The sequence below is a fragment of the Homo sapiens genome, chromosome 3 (genome assembly GCF_000001405.40).
Source record: "Homo sapiens chromosome 3, GRCh38.p14 Primary Assembly".
Classification (NCBI taxonomy): Eukaryota; Metazoa; Chordata; class Mammalia; order Primates; family Hominidae; genus Homo; species Homo sapiens.
In genome coordinates this window covers 19,655,883-19,679,872 of record NC_000003.12, presented here as the reverse complement: position 1 = coordinate 19,679,872, position 23,990 = coordinate 19,655,883, and the positions used below count along the sequence as shown (strand labels likewise).

At 37.9% G+C, this 23,990-nt stretch overlaps 2 annotated features.

Moving 5' to 3' along the window:
• Positions 7,662-8,162: an enhancer, noted in NCBI's record as "H3K27ac hESC enhancer chr3:19713203-19713703 (GRCh37/hg19 assembly coordinates)". NCBI's record gives its function as "activates a minimal SCP1, AML or CMV promoter by ChIP-STARR-seq in naive H9 embryonic stem cells {active_cell/tissue: H9 hESC(naive)}" and the evidence as "EXISTENCE:reporter gene assay evidence [ECO:0000049][PMID:30033119]".
• Positions 11,282-11,783: an enhancer, noted in NCBI's record as "NANOG hESC enhancer chr3:19709582-19710083 (GRCh37/hg19 assembly coordinates)". NCBI's record gives its function as "activates a minimal SCP1, AML or CMV promoter by ChIP-STARR-seq in naive H9 embryonic stem cells {active_cell/tissue: H9 hESC(naive)}" and the evidence as "EXISTENCE:reporter gene assay evidence [ECO:0000049][PMID:30033119]".

The following is a 23,990-nucleotide window of genomic DNA, read 5'->3' as shown; positions in this document are numbered from 1 at the left end:
AGTGTACCAGAATGTCTGGGACACATTTAAAGCAGTGTGTAGAGGGAAATTTATAGCACTAAATGCCCACAAGAGAAAGCAGGAAAGAACTAACATTGACACCCTAACATCACAATTAAAAGAACTAGAGAAGTTAGAACAAACAAATTTAAAAGCTAGCAGAAGACAAGAAATAACTAAGATCAGAGCAGAACTGAAGGAGACAGAGACACAAAATTGCTTCAAAAAATCAGTGAATCCAGGAGCTGATTTTTTGAAAAGATCAACAAAATAGATAGACTGCTAGACAGACTAATAAAGAAGAAAAGAAAGAAGAATCAAACAGATGCAATTAAAAAATGATAAAGGGGATATCACCACTGATCCCACAGAAATACAAACTACCATCAGAGAATACTATAAACACCTCTATGCAACTAAACTAGAAAATCTAGAAGAAATGGATAAATTCCTCGACAAATACACCCTCCCAAGGCTAAACCAGGGAGAAGTAGAATCTCTGAATAGACCAATAACAGGTTCTGAAATTGAGGCAATAATTAATAGCCTACCAACCAAAAAAAAGTCCAGAACCAGACAGATTCACAGCCAAATTCTACCAGGGGTACAAAAAGGAGCTGGTATCATTCCTTCTGAAACTATTCCAATCAATAGAAAAAAAGGGAATCCTCCCTAATTCATTTCATTAGGCCAGCATCATCCTGATACCAAAACCTGGTGGAGACACAACAAAAAAAGAAAATTTTAGGCCACTATCCCTAATGAACATCAATGCGAAAATCCTCAATAAAATACTGGCAAACTGAATCCAGCAGCACATGAAAAGCTTATCCACCATGATCAAGTCAGCTTCATCCCTAGGATGCAAGGCTTGTTCAACAAAAGCAAATCAATAAACGTAATCCATCATATAAACAGAACCAAAGACAAAAACCACATGATTATCTCAATTAGATGCAGAAAAGGCCTTTGACAAAATTCAGCAGCCCTTCATGCTAACAACTCTCAATAAACTAGGTATTCATGGGATGTATCTCAAAATAATAAGAGCTATTTATGACAAACCCACAGCCAATATCATACTGAATGGGCAAACACTGGAAGCATTCCCTTTGCAAACTAGCACAAGACAAGGATGCCTTCTCTCACCACTCCTATTCAATGTAGTGATGGAAGTTCAGGCCAGGGCAGTCAGGCAGGAGAAAGAAATAAAGGATATTCAATTAGGAAAAGAGGAAGTCAAATTGTCTCTTTTTGCAGGTGACATGATTGTATATTTAGAAAACCCCATCGTCTCAACCCAAAATCTCCTTAAGCTGATAAGCAACTTCAGAGTCTCAGAATACAAAATCAGTGTGCGAAAATCACCAGCATTCCTATACACCAATAACAAACAGAGAGCGAAATCATGAGTGAACTGCCATTCACAATGGCTTCAAAGAGAATAAAATATCTAGGAATCCAACTTACAAGGGATGTGAAGGACCTCTTTAAGGAGAACTACAAACCATTGCTCAACGAAATAAAAGAGGACACAAACAAATCAAAGAACATTCCATGCTCACGGATAGGAAGAATCAACATCGTGAAAATGGCCACACTGCCCAAGGTAATTTATAGATTCAATGCTATCTCCATCAAGCTACCAGTGACTTTCTTCACAGAATTGGAAAAAACTACTTTAAATTTCATATGGAACCAAAAGAGAGCCTGCATAGCCAAAACAATCCTAAGCCAAAAGAACAAAGCTGGAGGCATCACGCTACCTGACTTCAAACTGTATTACAAGGCCACAGTAACCAAAACAGCATGGCACTGTTACCAAAACAGATATATAGACCAATGGAACAGAACAGAGGCCTCAGAAATAACACCATACATCTACAACCATCTGATCTTTGACAAACCTGACAAAAACAAGAAATGAGGAAAGGATTCCCCATTTAATAAATGGTGCTGGGAAAACCGGCTAGCCATATGCAGAAAGCTGAAACTTGATCCCTTCCTTACATGTTATACAAAAATTAACTCAAGATGGATTAAAGACTTAAATGTTAGACCTAAAACCATAGAAACCCTAGAAGAAAACCTAGTCAATACTATTCAGGACATAGGCATGGTCAAAGACTTCATGACTAAAACACCAAAAGGAAGGGCAATAAAAGCCAAAATTGACAAATGGGATCTGATTAAACTAAAGAGCTTCTGCACAGCAAAAGAAACTATCATCAGAGTGAAGAGGAAACCTAGAGAATGGGAGAAAAATTTTGCCATCTATCCATGTGACAAAGGGATAATATCCAGAATCTACAAGAAACTTAAACAAATTTACAAGAAAAAAACAACCCCATCAAAAAGTGGGTGAAGGATATGAACAGATACTTTTTAAAAAGAAGACATTTATGCCGCCAACAAACTCATGAAAAAATGCTCATCATCATTGGTCATTAGAGAAATGCAAATCAAAACCACAATGAGATACCATCTCACGCCAATTAGAATGGCAATCATTAAAAAGTCAGGAAACAACAGATGCTGGAGAGGATGTGGAGAAATAGGAATGCTTTTACACTGTTGGTGGGAGTGTAAATTAGTTCAACCATTGTGGAAGACAGTGTGGTTATTCCTCAAGGATCTAGAACTAGAAATACCATTTGACCCAGCAATCCCATTTCTGGGTATATACCCAAAGGATTATAGATCATTCTACTCTAAAGACACACGCACACGTATGTTTATCGTAGCACTGTTCACAATAGCAAAGTCTTGGAAACAACCCAAATGCCCATCAATGATAGACTGGATTAAGAAAATGTGGCACATACACACCATGAGATACTATGCAGCCACAAAAAAGGATGAGTTCATGTCCTTTGCAGGGACATGAATGAAGCTGGAAACCATCATTCTCAGCAAAGTAACACCAAAAAGAGAAAACCAAACACTGCATGTTCTCACTCAGAAGTGGGATTTGAACAATGAGAACACGTGGACACAGGGAGGGGAACTTCACACACCGGGGTCTCTTAGGGGGTGGGGACCTGGGGGTGGAATAACATTAGGAGAAATACCTAATGTAAATGATGAGTTGGTGGTTGCAGCAAACCAACATGGCACAAGTATACCAATGTGACAAACCTGCACGTTGTGCACATGTGTCCCAGAACTTAAAGTATAATAATAATAAAAAGAAATTAATGCTAATTTCTTTTTCTTTCTTACTGCCTCTATAATTGCATAAAATGTTAATTTTTAACTTGACAATATTATTGTGATTCTTAAAGGAGTCTTTATCATTTAAGCCGTAAATATTTAACACTTATATACTTAAATATTATTGAATGAAGTGATGGAACATAGTTGTGTAAGAGAGCATGTCTTACTGGCACCACAAGCTAGTATAGCAGGTAATGTATATGGCACAAAGAGATCACTAGAGAGAATTGTAGTTTCTTCCTCCAGGTATAGCAAGGTAGATACTCTTGAATTCCTTTTCTGAATGTCTCTTTCTTTACAATATCAAAAGTTTATTCCTAATGCGTAAGTTTCTGTGTTTCAGATATTATAATTGATTTTACTTGGTATCCAAATACCTTCTCCAGAAATGAAGTTATCTAGAGTTAGTTAGGGTTAGAAGGAACAAACATTTTTGTTTACCATTATGCAGGAGGCAGAATGTGGTACAAATGCTAATGGCATGCATATCACTATTAGTATTTATTTGTACTGCACCAAGCTTTTCAGTGGCTTCTTGTATTGGTTACAGTGTTTCTGCAACAGCATGAGCTCGGCCAGTGAAATGCAGCTGGGATAACTTTGGATTTGGTAAAAGATATATTCCTGTCAAGTCGTTCATGGATTCTAAGGACTGTATCAAGCTCCCTGTTTTAGCTCTGAAGCATAAAGGAAATAATAAGTTTTTAATCTTTTCCCAGATACCATTCTCTAATGTAAACTGTAGCTATTTTCCCTAATGGAAAAAGCAGTCTGGCTCGGATTCATCAAATCCATCCATCCACTCATTGAATTCGTACATCCGTTCATTCATACATACATACATACATATTTATTATGTATCTACTTCTTACCTATGTATCTTCTGTGTAATTTGTTTGAGAATTTGATGTGACAAATTGAGTTTTATGCGATATATGTCACAATGATTGATTATTAGCATCATTATTTTGGGGGACATCTACTTCATATTTCAGTGAAAAAAGGTAAGGAGGAATCAGTAATCTTAAATAACTTGCTATATAATCTCAGAAAATCATAATTTTTTCTGTGCTTAATGTTCTATATAATTCATTAATAAAATACTTTTCTTGGGAAAAATCTTCCTCAGGAAATATTACTAATTTTTTAAAAAAATTAAAATTTTTTTTGAGATAGGGTCTTACTCTGTCACTTAGGCTGACATGCAGTGACACAATCACAGCTTACTGAAGTCTCAACTTCTCAGGCTGAAGCAATCCTCCTACCTCAGCTTCCCAAGTAGCTGGAACTACAGGCAAGCACTACCCTGCCCAACTAATTTTTGTATTTTTGTAGAGGGTATTTTGCCATATTGCCCAGGCAGGTCTTGAAGTCCTGGGCTCAAGCGATCCTCCAGCCTTGGCCTCTCAAAGTGTTGGGATTACTGGTGTAAGCCACTGTGCCCAGCCTGATTATTTTACATCATGTTCCAAAGACTGTTTAAAGAGATAGGATATTATGATAAAATATTAAATTGAAAAAAAAGTACTCTTCCAGCATTATCTCAAGTTTGTAATATATAGAATAAAAAATTCTGGCTGCAAATACATCAAAATTGGTATATTTCTCTAATATCTAAACTTGCTATAATTAAACTACACTTATTTGTGACATGGAAAGATGTTCTAGGAAAAGAATCTTGAAGATATAATGAGGCTACAAGTGTGAAAACCTGAAGAGCCAACATAATGTAATTGTTTGCAAGTCTTGTTTTATTTAGCAAGCTGCTGAAGATTAGAGAAGGGTAATCCAGAAGGAGATAACATAGATAAGTAATATTATTCTATTGTAGCCTTTCTAACTATATTAAGTTCAGCAATTACCTTTTAAGGATTTTCCATGCATAAGACAGTAGGCTAGGTCCAACAAATGTTATTCAAATGAGTAAAGGTAAATTAAAGGAATGAAACTGGTTTTCAGATGGGTTATTTGAGATTAAAAAGAGATTAATTAGAAGAGATACTTTCATAAGAAAATCCAAGTGTGAAATATGAGCCCTTGAAAAAGATCTAGAGTATCTAATCCAGCACCCACAATTAACATAAAGGAAAAAAGACAGTATATACATGCTTGCTTAAATGCATACAGACAATGTCAGACTTAGGACTCAAACATGGATTTAAAGGCAAGATTCTATTCATTGGCATTTTAACAGAAATCTATAGGCATTTAAAAATAAAGGGTATAATTAATTTTTTTCCGTCCAAAACAATAAGAGATTTTGAGACAGATGGTTTAGGGATGGGAGTGGAGTTCCCTGATGCCATCAAAAAAACAGACTCCTTCACCTTCAGTTTCGTGGAAGATGAAGAGATAGCACACTTCTGCTTATATTTAATTGGCCAACGCTGAATCTATATGGCCCCTTTAACCACAAGAGAATCTGCAAGGTTGAGCTTTTAGCCTTCCATCTACTGTAATTGAGAAAGGAATATAAAAGGAGTGTGAAATAGATGTTGAGTGAGCCAACCTTAAGTATCAGCTTTCCTGATTTTGGATACAGGGCTCTTCATTGACCCTTTATGTCTTACACTGAGCTTTGTTCTAAGGGACTGATAAAATACCAAAGTCTCCAAAAATGGATGAGGAAAGAATGGCCTACTAACTTTCCTCAAATACTAAAAGTGTTGCCCAATATGATGGTATTTGAAGATGGGACCTGTGGGATATAATTAGGTTTAGATGAGGTCTTGAGTGTGGGGCCCCCATGATGGAATTAGTGCCCTTATAAAAAGAGACACCAGAGAGAGTGCTCTCTCTCTCTGTTACATGAGAACACAGTGAAAGGGCAGTCATCTGCAAACCAGGAAGAGAGCCTCCGCAAGAACCTGACCATACTGGCACTGTAATCTCAGATTTTCAGCCTCTAAAATTGTGATAAATAAACTTCTTTTGTTTAAGCCACTCAGTCGATGGTATTTTGTTATGGGAGCATGAACTGACTAATACAGATTTTGGTACTGAGAAGTGGGGTGCTGTTGTAAAAAATACATGTGGAAGTGGCTTTGAAACTGAGTAATGGGTAGCAGGTGGAATAGTTTTGAGGTACTTGCTAGAAATATGAACATTAAGAGTGATTCTTGTGAAGTCTAAGAAATGAATATGTTATTGGAAACTTGGGGAAAGGTGATTCTTGTTATAAAGTGGCAAAGAACTTCAGTGAACTGTGTTACAGTGTTTTGTGTACGGTAGAAACTGTGAGTGATGACACTGAATATTTAGCTGAGGAGATTTCTAGGCAAAGTGTGCGTTAGTCCATTTTTATGTTGCTATAAAGAAATACCTGAGATTGGGTGATTTATTTTCAGCAAAGAGATTTAATTGGCTTACAGTTCTTCAGACAGTACATGAGGCATAGTGCCAGCATCTGCTTCTGGTGAGAGTCTCAGGAAGCTTCCAGTCATGGTGGAAGGTGAAGGGGAGCCATCATGTCACATGGCAAGAGCAGGATCAAGAGTGAGAGAGAAAGGGGAAGTCCAGACTCTTTTAAACAACCAGAGCTTGTGTAAACTAACTGAGTGAGAACTCACTTATCATCAAGAGGATGATGCTAAACCATTCATGAGAGATCTGCCCTCATGATCCATTCACCTCCCACCAGGCCTCACCTCCAACATTTCAACATGAGATTTGGAGGCAACAGACATTCAAACCATATCAGACTGGCTTGGGTCCTCCTGTGTTTTGGTTAAAAGACATTTTAACTGGGGTGAGATGATATCTCACTGTAGTTTTTGTGTGCATTTCTGTGATGATCAGTGATGTTGAGCACTTTTCCATATACCTGTTTGCCATTTGCATGTCTTCTTTTGAGAAATGTCTATTTAGACCTTTTGCCCATTTAAAAATCAAATTATTACATTTTTAAAATAGAATTGTTTGAGCTCCTTATATATTCTGATTATTAAACCCCTGTCAGATGGATAGTTTGCAAATATTTTCTCCCATTCTGTTTGCTGTCTCTTCATTTTGTTGATTGTTTCTTTTTCTGTGCAGAAGCTTTTAAACTTGATATGATCCCCTTTGTCCAGTTTTACTTTGGTTGCCTGTACTTGTGGGGTATTACCAATGAAACTATTGCCCACTCCAATGTCCTGGAGAATTTCCCCAATGTTTTCTTGTAGTAGTTTCACAGATTACGGTCTTAGATTTAATTCTTTAATCTATATTGATTTGATTTTTCTATATGGTGAGAGGGGTCTATTCTCATTCTTCTGCATATGAATTTCCAGTTTTCCCAGTGCCATTTATTGAAGAATCTGTCCCTTCCCCAGTGTATGTTCTTGGTACCATTGTCAAAAATGAGTTCACTGCAGATGTATGGATTTGTTTTGGCCTTTTCTATTCTTTTCCACTGGTCTATGCCAGTACCATGCTGTCGTGTTTATGCCAGTACCACGCTGTTTCAAATTATACTACAGAGCTATAGTAAGCAAAACAACTGAAGAGATGAGGGGACAACCAGCTGCAGAGAGGAGCCACCCTGTCTGCTGAGAGCTGAACACTCATTGGGACACCCTGGCTATGAAGAGGAGCTACCCACTGCCCACTGCTGGTCTCCTCTGAGCTGTTCTATTGCTCAATAAAACTCTTTGTCTTGCTTACCCTCCACTTGTCTGCATACTTCATTCTTCCTGGTCACAGGACAAGAACTTGGGACCTGCTGAATGATGAGGCTAAAAGAGCTGTAACACAAACGGGGCTGTAACACAAACAGGGCTGAAACATGCCCCTTGCTCACCACATTGAGAGCAAAGAGAAGGAGGGAAGAGCTGCAGCCCTTCAGGAAGCCCAGACCTGGAGCTTCCCTGAGCCAGGGCTGTGACTCCCTCTTTGGAGCCCTGTGATTCCTGGCATCTTCAAGCTTCCAGGAGCCACCTCATTCTCCAGTGCTAGCTGAGGAAGTTGCTTGTGGTGCACCTGGTCCAGCCAGAGCCTCACAGAGAGCCAGTGCCCATGCCAGCACCTAGAGCTGCCTACCCAGCAGCCAGTGTGTCTGTATGCAGTGGCCGGACTCCATGCTCACTCACACCCCCGCACCACCACGCCACACTTGATTTGCAGTCTCCCTTGGAGGCATGGGATCCAGGTTGGTAGCATGAGCTGAGTGCAGCCTGCCAGACTGAGAGGGTGGAATGAGCCCAGCAGGCCCAAGCAAAACTCGAGCAAAGGCACCACTGGACACAGAGGTTCCTGGTCAGAAAAGTAACACCCCAAGAATCCCGTAACATTAGGACTTCCAGTACTATGTTGAATCACGGTGATGACAATGGGCATCCTTTTCATTTTCCAGATCTTAGAGTAAAGGCTTTCTATTTTTTCCCGTTCAGTATGATACTAGCTGTGGGTCTGTCATACGTGACTTTTATTTTGTTGAGATATGATCCATCTATACTCAGTTTTTTGAGGGGTTTGATCCTGAAGGGATGTTGAATTTTATCAAATGTTTTTCAGCATCCATTGAAATAATCATATGGTTTTTCTTCTTCTTTCTGTTGAAATGATGTATCACACTGACTGATTTGTGTGTGTTGAATCATCCTCCCATTTGAGGGATAAACCCCACTTGGTCATGATAAAAGAAGAGAAATGTCTATTTGAGGTTACCATGAAGTCTGCAAATATTATCTTATAACTCATTATTTTAAGCTGATAACAACTTAACACTGCTTGCACAAGCAAATGAGCAAAAAAAAAAAAAGCTGATAAAATTGGTGCTCTGTAACTTCATCTGTCAACTTTTTAACTTTTTGTTATTTCTATTTATAGCTTATTGTACTGTCTATGTCTTGAGTAGTTGTTGTAGTTATTATTTTTGTTTGGTTTACTGTTTAGTCTTTTTAAATGATAGTAGTAGTTTACACACTACAGTTATAGTGCTATAATATTCTGTGTTTTTCTGTGTACTTACTATTACCAGTGAGTTTTGTACCTTCAGATGATTATTTATTGCTCATTAATGTCCTTTTCTTTTTGGTCGAAGTTCTCCCATTAGCATTTCTTGTCAGACAGGTCTGGTGTTGAGGAAACTTTTCAGCTTCTTTTTTTTTTGCATGAGAAAGTCCTTATTTCTTCTTCCTTTTTGAATAACTTTTGACTGGATATACTATTCTAGGGTAAACATGTTTTTCCCTTAAATACTTGGACTATGTCATACCACTCTGTCTTGGCCTGTGAGGTTTCCACTGAAATGTCTGCTGTCAAAAGCATTGGAACTCTATTGTATATTATTTGTTTATTTTCTCTCGCTGCTTTTAGGAGTTATTTATCCTTGACCTTTTGGAGTTTTGATGCTATTTTCTAGATCTTGTAGTCATGCTTCATTCCTTCAAACTCACTGATTCTTTCTTCTGCTTGATTCATTCTATAATTAAGAGACTCTGATGCATTCTTCAGTATGTCCATTGCATTTTTTTAGCTCCAGAATTTCTGCTTGATTCTTTTTAGTTATTTCAATCTCTTTGTTAAATTTATCTAATAGAATTCCAAATTCCTTCTTTGTGTTATCTTGAATTTCTTTGAGTTTCCTCAAAAAAGTTATTTTGAACTCTCTATCTGAAAAGTCACATAGCTCCATTTCACCAGATTTGGTCCCTGGTACCTTATGTAGTTCATTTGGTAAGGTTTTGGTTTTCTGGATGATCTTGATGCTTGTAGATGTTCATCAGTGTCTGAGCATTGAAGAGTTAGGCAGTTGTTGTAGTCTTCACTGTCTGCACTTCTTTGCACCCATCCTCCATGTGAAGGCTTTCCTGGTATTCAAGAGGACTTTAGTGTTGTGATGTAAGCTATATCTGCATTAGGGGGCACACCAAGCCCAGTAATGTTGTGGTTCTTGTAGAGTCTCTGATAAGATTCAGAAGAATTATCTGGATTACTAGGCAGAGACACTTGTTCTTTTCCCCAAACAAATGAAGTCTCTCTCTCTCTCTCTCTGTGCTGAACCACGTGGAGCTGGGAGTGGCATGACACAAGTAGCTCTGTGGCTACCACCACTGAGACTGTGCTGGGTCAGACCTGAAGCCAGCACAGAACTGGGTATCACCCAAGGCTCGCTTTAACCACTACCTGGTTACTGTCTATGTTTGCTCAAGGACCTAGGGCTCTATAATCAGAAGGTAATGAAGCACATCAGGCTTGTATCCTTCCCTTCAGGTGGTGAGTTCCCCGAGTCCCTGGGCAGGTCCAGAGATGCCATCCAGGAACCAGAAAACTTAGAAACCTAACTGATGTTCTATTCTACTGTAGCTGAGCTTGCATTCAAACCACATGACACAGTTCTTCCCAGTCTTCCTTGCCCTCTCCATAGGCAGAGGAATCTCACCCTGTGGTTACCACCATTACAGGCCTATGAGGAGTACTGCCAGACTACTTCCAATATTCACTTAAGGCCCAAGGGCTCTTCAGTCAGCTTATGATTATTGCTGTCAGGCCTGGGACTCACCCTTCAGGGCAGTGGGCTCCCCTTTCACCCAGGGCAGGTCCAGAAATGCTGTCCAAGAGTCAAGGCCTGGAATCAGGGACTCCAAGAGCCTGCTTGGTGCTCTTCTCCACTGTGGCCCAACTGGTACCTGTGGTGCAAGACAAAGTCCCCTTTGGTTTTCTCTCTGCTTTTCTCAAGCAGAAGGAGTCCCCATCTGCAGCCATCAGAGTATGGAAGTATGGGAATATGCTGGCTTCTTACCTGAAGCCAGCATGTCTCAGAATCTCACCCAAGGCCAAGGCATACTACTTCGGTATCACTGCTGCTTCTTAGGGCCAAGGGGCTCTTTTGTCAGTAGGTTATAAACTCTGCCAGGATGGGTCCTTCCCTTCAAGGCAGCAGGTTGCTTTCTGTCTCAGAGTTTGTCTAGAAATGCTGTCCAGTAGCTTAGGTCCTGGAATGGGAACCTCATGATCCTGACTGGTGTCCTATACTTCTGTGGCTGAGCTGGTACCCAAGATGCAAGAGAAAATTCTGTTTACTCCTCATTCTCCTCTCCTCAAACAGAAGGAAGGGGTCTATTTTGGAGCTGCAAGCTATATAACTTTGGGTTAGGGGATGGGTGGTCCAAGCATTCCCTTAGCTGTCTCTGCTGATATCTCAGTAGTTTGAGTGCCCCGAAAGCCCACTGGCTTTGAGCCCAGCTCAGTACTTCAACTTGCCTAGGAATTGCAGTCCTTGTGGCCTAGACTGCCCCTCAAGTTCAATTAGGACCTCAGAGCCCTTCAGCCTAAAGTGGCAAGGCTTGCTGGAACTCAGGCTCCCCACGGGGATGGCCCTCTGGCTAGAGCTAGTCCAAATGCTCCCTCCATGGGTGGGCATCAGCTGCATTCAGCCTTGTTTTGCTTTGTATTGTAACAGGGCAGCACTGAATTCAATGCTAAGACATTGACTTGTCTATCTCTTACTGAATCTCTATTTGGGTAGTGGCCAGATTAACATGGTACTTAGGTAAATTGTTAAAGGTAGCTGTCGAGTTGCTATATCTACATCTTTGCCTTCTAAAAAGTTCACCCGGACTACACAATTTAGAGATGAATGATCACTTCCTGATTTGGAGTGCTGTGGAATGGTTGGTGAGTTGGGGCAAAGTCTTCCTTTGAGATCATTGCTCTCTCCCTTTCCCAAGTGCATGGATTCTTCATGCCATATGGCCATTGCCAGAGGACAAGGAAGGGGTGGTATCAGTAATTCAAGACTGTATTTCCTATCCTCTTCAGTCCCCTTTTCAGTGATGTGAATTCAAGCCAGGCACTGCGAGTGTTCACCTGATTTTTAGTTCCTATGAAGGTGCTCCCTTTGTATAGACAATTGCAAAATTGGTGTTCCTGCTTGGGGGGATGATTCGTGGAGCCCTCTACTTAGCCATCTTGTTCTGCCCCTCTCTCATCTTTTATTCTTGTACATTTATTTTATATTCATAAAGATTTAATTTCTAGTAAGCTGCACACAGCTGAGTCTACAACAGTTAATTTAAAACTAAGCAAGGAAATACCACCTTTTCAATATTTTCAATGAAATTATTGAAAATGAATGAAATTTAATTCATAAATGAAATTTAAGCATATAATTCTAATGTTTATACATTCTATTAGACCATATCAGTTAACTGTTGTTTCATAAAAAATAACCACAAAATCTCAGTGTCCAATAACAAGCATTATTTTTCTAATGCACCTGCAGATTAGCTGGGAGTATAGGAGTCAGCTGACGATTCAGGCTTGGATTGATCAGCTTGCTTTGTGGATCTTGACTGGACTCACTCATGTGTCTGTGGTTGCTGGGCTATTGATCTAGGCTGGTTGATTGGAGCAGCTTGACTGAGTGGATTTGCTTCACATGTTCATCATCTCTTGGGACTAGTGGGCAAGCTCACACATACATTTTTCACAGAGATGGCAGGAACACAATAATGCAAACAGAAAAACACAAGGTGTTTTAAGACTTAGGCTGGAAATGAAATGAAATTTTATTTTTATCTAATTTATCTACTAACCAAAGCAAGTTACATTTTTAGTTCAAGTAACTGTAAAGTCACATGGCAAAACGTGTGGATATAGGGGGCAAATGTGAAGAATTGGGGCTAAAGATGCTATTTACCATAAAGACTATCTGATCCAAGATTATTTAATATAATTAACTTTCTCAGTTTTCTATTTAAACCCAATGGTGATATTTCTTTGCAAAGTATTTACCAGAGCTGGTGTCCTCTGCAGAACATTTAGAATTTTATTTTCCTAATGTATTCTGAAACCCTACCTACTTCATCATGAGCAAGTTAGGAAAAAAGCTTTAATTCTAGAGTATTTGTATTCTTTTGCAAAGAATGCTGTTCAAAATGCTTTATTTCTTTGATCTCACTTTAGTACATGCAAATAAGACTTTGTAATTTTAGAAATATACAAGTACAATAATTACAGACACATTAAACTGTACGAATATTGCAGTTGAGAGGCAACACACCTGGGTCTTCGCTAAACTTCATTAATTACATTATAAAAGCAAACAACAACTAAAATTATTTTAAAGTAGCAGTCCAAAATTTAGTATTAGATTCACAAGAAGAATTTTCCTAGCTGACAGTTATATGAACTCTAAGAATAACCCCAGAGTAAACTTCCTAGTGAAAGAGAATAAGGGGCTGCATATACCAGTGTTTCTATTTTTATAAAATCCGTGGTCCAGGTGCTTTGGTTTTTTGTTTTGTGGCAGAAAAATTTATACACACACACACTATATATATATATACACATCTATATTCCTTTGTCTGTATATCTGTATATATCTCTCTCAGTGTGTGTATTGTGTGTGTGTGTGTGTATCACATTTGGTGTATATGGGTATCACATTTTCTATATCATCTATATCATCCATCTATATCTATCTATCTATCTATCTATCTATCCTCTATTTATCCAATCTATATATGCATGTCTAGGGCAAAGTAAATAGTTTGGTAAGCTGGACAAAAAGATAAATATAGTTGACTGCAAAGGTCAGTAAGAGCTAGTTTATGACAGATCTTGACTTTGCAGCAGAACGAAGGTTGTGCTCACTCTAAATTAAGATGTGTTCAGGGCTTCCTGGAAGGGCAGAGAGGGGGCTTACCAGGAGCCTATTTGTATGAATAATAATAGTGCTCCTGGGGAAGAATCTTTCTGGAAAGGTACAGCATGTTGAGAAAAAATGTACGTTGCTATGATAACAATCCCCAAGCATTAGTAGGGAGAAGGCAATTTAAAATCCTCAGGTACCATCTGTGTATATTGAGCTGAGTCTTAGAGGCAGGGGCTACTAATGAGACTGAAAGTTAAGTTTCCCCAAGCTTGTTTTTTTGATCACATTCTAAATCTTTTTTTTTTAAATTTCAACTTTTATTTTAGATTCAGAGGGTACATATGCATGTTTGTTACGTGGGTATATTGTGTGATGCTGAGGTTTGGGGTATGATTAATCCCATCACCCAGGTAATGAACGTAGTACCCAATAGTTCATTTTTCAATCCTTGCCCCCCTTTCTCCTCCCTCACCCTTCTAGTAGTCCCTAGTGTCTATTGTTGACATCTTTATGTCTATGTGTACATGATATTTAGCTTCCACTTATAAGCAGTTTTCTGTTCCTGTGTTAATTGCTTAGCATAATGGTCTCCAGCAGTATCCATGTTTCTGCAAAGGAAATTATTTCATTTTTTTATGTCTGCATAGTATTCCATGGTGTATATATGTAACACATTTTCTTTACCCACTCTACTTTTGATGGGCACCTAGGTTGGCTCTAGTATTTGCTATTGTGAATAGATCTGCAAGGACATGTGAGTGCATATGTCTTTTTGGTAGACAGATTTATATTTCTTTGGGTATATACCCAGTAATGGGATTTATGGGTTGTATAATGGTTCTGGTTTAAGTTCTTTGACAGTTTGAGAAATCTCCAAACTGCTTTCCACAGTGGCTGAACTAATTTACACTTCCACCAACAATGTATAAGCGTTCCCTTTTCTCTGCAGCCTCCCCAGGATCTGTTGTTTTTTGACTTTTTAATAATTGCCATGCTGACTGGTGTGGGAGGGTAGTTCACTGTGGTTTTGATTTGCATTTCTCTCATGATCTGGCTGATATCCAGAATGGTATTTCCTAGCTTTCCTTCTAGAATTCTTGTAGTTTTAGGTCTTACATTTAAGTCTTTAATGCATCTTGAATTAATTTTTGTATATGATTAAAGGTAGGTGTATTTGTCATTCTTACATTACTATGAAGAACTGCCTGAACCTGGGTAACTTAGAAAGAAGTTTAAATTGACTCACAGTTTAGTATGGCTGGGGAGGTTTCAGGAAACTTACAATCATGGGGGAAGGTGAAGGAGAAGCAAGGCACCTTCTTTACAAGGCATGAGGAAGGAGAATGAAAGTGGGAGGAACTACCAAAATTTATAAAACCATCATATCTTGTGAAAACTCACTCACTATCATGAGAACAGCATGGGGGAAACTGTTCCCATGATTCAATTACCTCTACCTTGTCTCTTTCTTGAAACATGGGAATTACGGAGATTACAATTCAAGATAAGATTTTGGGTGGGGACACAGCCGAACCATATCAGTAGGGGTCCAGTTTTATTCTTCTGCATATTGCTAACCAGCTAATCCCAGAAGGACTCCCTATTAAATAGAGGGAGTCCTTTCCCCATTGCCTATTTGTGTTGACTTTGTCAAAGATCAGATGGCGGTAGGTGTGTGGCTTTATTTCTAGGTTATACATTCTGTTCTATTGGTCTATGTGTCTGTTTTTGTACCAGTACTATGCTTTTCTAGTTACTGTAGCTTCATACTATAGTTTGAAGTTATGTAATGTGATGCCTCCAGCTTTGTTCTTTTTGCTAAGGGTTGATTTGGCTATTTGGTCTCTTTCATGGTTTCATATACATTTTAGAATAATTTTTTTCTAATTCTGTGAAAAATAACACTGGTAATTTATAAGAATAGTGTTGAGTCTGTAGATTGCTTTGGGCAGTATGATTATTTTAATGATATTGATTTTTCAAATCCATGAGGATGGAATGTTTTTCCATTTGTTTATGTCATCTATAATTTCTTTTATCACTGTTATGTAGTTCTCCTTGTAGAGATCTTTCACCTTCTGAGTTAGATATAGTCCTAGGTATTTTATATCTTTTGTAGTTTCCCCATGATACTAAGTGACATTGAAAGCACAGGTATTTACTCTTTTGAAACATGTAGGGGTAAACATATGTGCCTCATTCCTCAGGTTCCTGGTTCAATACATAATGAGTTTAAGGACTAAGTGAACTTTTGTTTCTCAAGCCCTTTTGGAAATGTAGAGAAATACTGGTTTTACTTACTCCTACTAAGGTGGGGGTGGTTAAGTAAAGTAGCTAATTTATTAGGCAGGGTTTTGTTCACTGAGATTTGTCTATAAGAGGGAAGGGTGTTCACATATGACATGCCTTCTCTACTCTTCCAGTTACTAGCATTTTTTGTCTCCTTGTGCTTAGCCTGGGAAGGGTCCACAGCCTGTCTTATGAAGAAGGTCTTGTGTGCTCGACCACACACAAAAGGGGGTCTAGATTTGGGATTAGCAGATATGACTTCTTTAATTGGTCCAACATTACTGTTACTTTGATTTACTATGGTCTCAGCAAGTAACATAAAAAAGATACATGATATTAAGGATGCCTGAAGATACTCATAAAGGAAGCTCCCTAATACATCCTTGATCCTCCTGGAAGCATAGCTGAAGTTTTGTCTTAGTAAAGAATCCTCCAGGTAAGAGAAGGGAAGGGTAGGAGGGAGATGGGCAAGTCAAACTACCTAAAATGAATGTTTTGATGTGCTATACGTACAGACTCTCTCAGTTTATTTCTTGCTATATCTTTGGGAAAAGCTTTCTTTCAGCAGTATTAGTCATAACTGGCTTCACATCATCATTCTTCAAGCTCTCTCTGTTCTGCATGTAACTGGGTGTTCAAGGCAGGCCTGTTTGTGTAAGTGATATGGAGTCAGGTTTGAAGACGCTGTTTATGCCTCTGTGTGCATACCTGAGCATACAGGCTCTAAGATTTTTGGGTAGAATAGGAGGTAGGAGGCTCAGCTTGGGTCCCTCATCTTGCTTTCCCACAGTAGTTTCCAACCATGCTTATCCAAAGGCCCAGCATTTTGGAGATTCTCATATAAATAAACCAGTACTTTATTTTTTATTTGTCTTGCATGTGTTGCAGCTTTCATAACTGCTAACAAGGTACATTTAGCAGAGAACTACACAGGTGAGACCATTTTTTTTCTCCACTGTGACTGCAGCTGAGAATATAAAATGCCAGTGCTCTACTGCGGGCACTGGGCTATCAGCAGGGGAGGGCACCAGCCATATTGGAGTTTTGGCAGCTTCAGCAAAGCACCATATGAGCACGGCATGACTTCAGCAGACCTTGACAAAATATCTCATCGGAGGCGGCATCAGTGAAATTGCACATTCATCAGGCTTCACAGAGATTGGGATATAGCTCACATGGAGCCAGAAATGAAGTCACCGCAAGAATGGAGGAAGTGGTCACTAAGACAGCCTCACACATCAGTACCAGTGGGAACTCTTCAGGGGACACGCAGGAATGCTTGCAGGAAATTTTAAAGAGCATCTGGAAGATATTCAATAATAAGTGAGAGAAGAATTAGGAAACTACTGTGTTTCTATAAATATGACTCCTGTCACTCCCAAACTGGTAGAGCCTAAGGAAACATAGGTGCGAAAGAGTTTGAACAGGGGTTTTGCATATCTTTTCCTTAACTCTAGTCATAACTAATCTGATAATCAACTTGGGTGCATAAATGAACTCTTGATTGGTTTGATAATCTTAAGTATTTTCTTTTCTTTTGTTGTTGGCTGTGAATGGGGAGCTTTAACGTCTATGTTCAGCATTTTGACAGCTTCTGCATTACTGATTTCTAAATCTGTCAATTAAAATTTTATTGGTCGCTATGTCTGCACTCTGTGTATATGTGACAGGAGAGGATGATGGGTGATAAATATGTATGCAGAGGAAAGTGATATAGGCACAGGTGGAGGGGATTTAGCATAACATAGGAATTTCAAGTTTACCATATTAGGTTATAAACCCCACAAAGACTTTTTTTTTCATTAACATTGTATTTTCAACTCCCATCACAGTGCATGGCATGCAGTGTAGAAACTGTATTTTTGATGAGTAAAGGTTTACTACATATGTTAATTATCATATATGCAACATTCAAGAGAAACAGTCCAGTTGTGCTTGAGGGGACAGAGAGGAAACAGAACCGGGAAAAGGCAGAGAAAAAATTGAAGACAAAGTGGTTTGAAGAGGGAGCATGACATGAATCTGTCATTTTAAACCCTAAGCCTACCATCAATCAATTTAGCTGCTTTTCTTGGGTTTTTCTCTATGTTCATTGCTTCCTCTTCAAACAGGAAAAACTGCACTTATTTTCTGGGAATGTTTATTCAAGAAAAGTAATTCAATCATAAGATGGAACAGACTCTTGGCTGCATATGAACAATTTGTTTCTAAAAATCAGATCTAAATGTTTTTGTATGTGGTAAAATGAAGATTAAGGCCAGGATCTTCCCAGCCTTTTATGTCAACTCACATCTCTTCATCATAATGGATAGCCCTGTCTCATTTGTTAAGGCCATCAACTATGGGATGGGGAGAGAAGAGAAAGTGCTGAAATGGCACCTACACATTTTTGTGCCCCTATAGTCACCTCAGATAGCAGAGTGCCTACAGGTGCCATCAGAGTCATTGTAAGAATTCTGAATATTAAAAAAAAACTATCCTTTTTTGGAATGAAGAGCAACAGAAACCCTTCAAAAGGGACACAGCTATGGGCAGCCTGATGTATATTTTCAAGTTGAAAGTGGGATAGTATTTTTTTTTCCTTAAAAATAGACTTTTGTAGGCAGGGCACGGTGGCTCATGCCTGTAATCCCATCTCTTTGGGAGGCCAAGGTGGGTGGATCACCTGAGGCTAGGAGTTTGAAATCAGCCTGGCCAGAATGGTGAAACCCCATCTCTACTAAAAACACAAAAAATTACCCGGGCATGGTGGTGGACACCTGTAATCCCAGCTACTTGGGAGGCTGAGGCAGAAGAATCATCTGAACCTGGGAGGCAGAGGTTGCAGTGAGCTGAGATTGTGCCACTGCACTCCAGCCTGGGCAACAAGAGCGAAACTCTGTCTCAAAGAAAAAAGAAAGTAGACCTTTGTAATAAGATAAAATGCTGCAACCAATTGTCAGTTTCACTATTATAACTTTTTCAGTTCCTTGAAATTAAAATTTTGATTAAAACTTGAAGCAGACATGCTTTAATTAAAAAAATGAAAGTATAAAATTGATAGGAGAAGAAAGAATCTTCCTCTTCTCCTTCTCCAACAATCCTGGAGTGACAACAATGACAGTGCATTTCCAAGAAATGAAAGGGTATATTTTGTTACCTTCATATGCTCAAAAGATACGTTTTGTTTTTTGTGATGTGCTTCTCACAAATTCTTCTTATAGATGTTTTTTTCTTTGAGAACTTGTTATGAAACTGTCACAATAAAGATATGTTTACGTTCTTAATTTTTTTTTTTTTTGTAAAGATGGGGTCTCCCTGTATCACCCAGGCTGGTCTTGAGCTTCTGGGCTCAAGCGATCCTCCCGCCTTGGCTTCCCAAAGTGCTGGGATTACAGGTGTGAGCCGCTGCACCTGGTCAAGATATGTTTACCTTCTTCTTGAATTATTTCATTGATGGCTTCCTGCTCTCCATTTTCTCTAATCTTTTTTTCTGGACATACTGGATGGATTGATCATTTAATGACTTCTCTTTTCTCCCCTATTTTCTATTTCTGTTTCTTTGTCTTTTAACATAATGTCCTTGACATTATATTTCAAGCTCTCTCTTGACTTTTTAATTTCTGTTATCATCTTTTTCATCCCTGAGGTTTCCTTATTCCCCAAATGCTACTTTTTGCTATTAAAAGTAATGGCAAAAACTGCAGTTACTTTTGCACCAACCTAATAGCATCCTGTTCTTATTTCATGTGTTCAATTTATTTTCTCTTAGAGTACACTGGTATGTTTTTCGTGAATTTTCTTTTGTTTTCTATTTATTTGTTGTAATCCCTATCTTTTGTGTTAGAGACTTTCCTCAGATTTTTGTTTGCCAACACTTATTAGGTGTCAGGGACAAAAATGCTGATTAGATGCCCTGCAGACATATGTAGGCCTTGTTGATTGTACACTGCAATATACAGTAATACAGTTGGAAGTTTCTTGGGAAGCTCATAATATGAGTATCTTTGCTTTTTCCCCTAGACTCTCAGATTCTATAGAGATTTTCCAGTTTCCTGCCTGGGTAGCAAATGCGGTTTCTGCATCTTATATTTACACAAAAAACTACACATTAAAGTTCATGGCAGCTTTATTCATGATAGTCAAAAACTGGAAACAATCCAAATGTTCTTCAGTGAGTAAAATGCCTAAATAAAAGGTACATCCATACCACAGAATACCACTCAGCAATATAAAGGAATGAACTATAGATGCATGCAACCACTTTGTGGGATTTCAAAGGAATTATGTAGAATGAAAAAAGCCAGTGCAGTTTTCTGCATTTACTACCCAGGCAGGAGACAAAAATTCCGAGAGTCCTGTGGGGAAAGAGATTGGCTTTTTTTTTCTCCACTCATCATAATTCTCTTAAAATCATCAAAGTTGTTGTATCATTAGGTTGTATAAATGAAATTATACAGTGTATAACATTTTGAGATTGGCTTTTTCACTCCACATAATCCCTTTGAGATCCACCAAAGTGGTTGCATGTATCTACAGTTCATTCCTTTATATTGCTGAGTAGTATTCTGTGGTATGAATGTACTACATTTTATTTAAGCATTTTATTCATTGAAGGACATTTGGATTGTTTCCTGTTTTTGACTATTATGAATAAAGCTGCTATGAACTTTAATGTGTAGTTTTTTTGTGTAAATATAAATTTCATTTCCTTAGTACAAATGCCCAGAAATGTGATTGCTGGGTAACATAGTAAGTGTATGTTTAGTTTCAAAAGAAACTGCTGAGCTATTTTTTAGAGCATGGTGGTATTTTGCATTTCCACCAGTAATGTATGAGTGACCATGTTTTCCTGCAAATTTTCTAGAATTTGGTGTCTGTTCACTTTTAAAAAGTGCAATATCAATTTAATTTACTGGGATGCAATGATGATACTCAAAATTCTGGAGGTTTCATAGTTAAATACATTCATGTCACCATCACCCCAAATTATTACCATCTCAATTCCATGCAGCTCTTTTCCAGTCATCTTTCTCAACTTTAAAAAAGTTACATTGCCATAGATTAGTTTTGTTCATTTTTGATTTATTTCTTTTTCTTCAACTTTTATTTTAAGTTCTAGGGTACATGTGCAGGATGTGTAAGTTTGTTACTTAGGTTAATGTGTACCATGGTGGTTTGCTGCACCAAACAACCCATCACCCAGGTATTAAGCCCAGCATCCATTAGCTATTCTTCCTGAGGCTTTCCCTCCCTGTGTGCCCCACAGTAGCCCCCAGTGTGTGTTGTTCCTTCCACCCATGTGTCCATGTGTTCTTATCATTCAGTTCCCACTTATAAGTGAGAACAGGCAGTCTTTGGTTTTCTTTTCCTTTGTTAGTTTGTTGAGGATAATGGCTTCCAGCTCCATCCATGTCACTGCAAAGGATATGATCTTATTCCTTTTTGAGCCTTCTTGCTGGTGGGGACTCTGCAGATTTACAAAGCAATACAGGGCATCACATGGCAAAGTGGCTGAGCATGGTGGCTCAGATCTCTTTCTCTTCTTATAGAGCTACCAGTTCTACTCCATGATAATCCATTAATCTATTAATTCATTAATACACGAATGGCTCTGCCTTTGTAACCCAATTACCTCTTAAGGGTACTACCTCTCAATACTGCCACACTGAGGATTACATTTAAACGTAAGTTTTGGGGGGGACAAATATTTAAACCGTACCAGTTAGTCTAACTAAGGGTTTGTAAATTTTTTTTAGCTTTTTAAAGAAATAACTGTTAGTTTGTTTGATGTTTTTTCTATAGTTTTTCTCATCTCTACTTTTACATTTCTGCTTTGAAATAAATTTTATTGTTATTTCCTTCTTTTTGCTAGCTTTGGGATTATTTTTTGTTCTAGTTCCTAAGGGTGTAATGTTAGGTGTTTATTTAAGATCTTTATTCTTTTTTGATATAAACATATATGTTATATAAAATTTCCTCTTAAAACTGCTATTGCTGCATCCCATAACTTTTATATGTTGTGTTTTTATTTTCCTTTGTCTCAAGATATTTTTTAAGTTTTAAAAAATTTCTTCTTTGAGCCAATAATTATTGGCTCAAAGCAATAAGAACATATTGCTTAATTTCTACACATTTGTTAATTTTCTATTCCTCTTGTAACAATTTCTAGTTTTGTACCATTGTGACTAGAAAGTGTACTTGATATGATTTAAAATTTTTTTTTCAATTTGTTAAGACTTATTTTGTGGCCTAACATAATCTATTATGGATACTGTTTTCTATGAACTTGAGAAGAATGTGCATTCTTTTGTGGTTGGATAAAATACTCTATTAATATATATGTTTGGTAGGTCTGTTTGGTCTAGAGTGTAGTTGAAGTTCAATGTTTCCTTATTAATTTTCTGCCTGGATGATCTGTCTCTTATGGAAAGTCAAGTATTGAGATCCTCTATTATTATTGTGTTGCAGTCTATGTCTCTCCTCACATATTTTAATGTTTGTTTTATACATTTAGCTACTCCAGTGTTGGGTGGATATATATTTACAATGTTATATCCTCTTGATGAATTGACCCCCTTATCACTGTGTGATATTCTTTTTCTCTTCTTACAGTTTTGACCTAAAGTTTATTTTGTCTAATATAAATATAGCTACCCCTGCTCACTTTTGATTTCCATTTGCATAAAATCTTTTTCTATCCCTTGACTTTGAGTCTATGAGTGTCCTTTAAGGTTAAGTCTTTTATAGGCAGCATGTAGTTGGGTCTTGTTTTTTTATTCATTCAACCACTATATGCCTTTTGATTGGAGAATTTAATCCATTTACATTTAAAGTAATTATTAATAGGTAAGAACTTACCATTGCCATTTTGTTCATTGTTTACTCGTTGTTTTTCATGTCCTTTCTTCCTCTCTTGATTTCTTTCTTTGTGGTTTGATGGTTTTCTGTAGTGGTATGTTTTAGATCTTATTTTTTATCTTTTGTGGGTCTATTATTGACTTTGGCTTTGTGGTTACTATGGGGCTTAAATAAAACATCTTATAACTGGTAATTTTAAGTTGATAAAAGCTTAATTTTGATGGCATACACAAACTCTATGCTTTTACTCTCCTCTCACATTTTATGTTTTTGATGTCATAATTTACATCTTTTTTATAATTTGTATTCCTAACAAATTATTGTAGCTTTCATTGTTTTTAACAGTTTTTTCTTTTGACCTGTACAGTAGAGATATAATTTATTTACCCACTACCATTACAGCATTAGTGTTTTGGATTTGACAGTGTACTTACTTGTACCAGTGAAATTTTATATGTTTGTGTGTTTTCATGTTACTAATTTGTATCCTCTTCCTTCACCTTGAAGAACTCCCTCTATTACACTTTTTAGTTTGGTTACAGTATTCTTCAGCTCTAGGATTTCTGTTTGGTGCTTTTATATACTTTCTACCTCTTTGTTGAAAATTTCATTTTGTTCTTGCATTGCTCTCTTGACCTTGTTAAATTCTCATAAAGTGAGCATCTTTATAACCATTATTTTGAGGTCCCTGTTGGGTAAATCACATATCTCCATTTCACTAGGATTGGTTTTTGGAGATTTTTGTTCTTTTATTTGGTGATACGGTTTGGCTCTGTGTCCCCACCCAAATTTCGTCTTGAATTATAATCCCCATGTGTTGAGGGAGGAACCTGGTGAGAGGTGATTGGATGATGGGGACAGTCTTCCTCATGCTGTACTCATGATAATGAGTGAGTTCTCATGAGATCAGATCATTTAAAAATAGCAGTTTCCCCTATGCTCTCTCTCTCTTCTGCTGCCGTGTAAGAAGGGCCTTGTTTCCCCTTCATCTTCTGCAATGATTGTTAAGTTTTCTGAGGCCTCTCTAGCCATGCAGAATTGTGAGTCATTTAAACCTTTTTTCTTT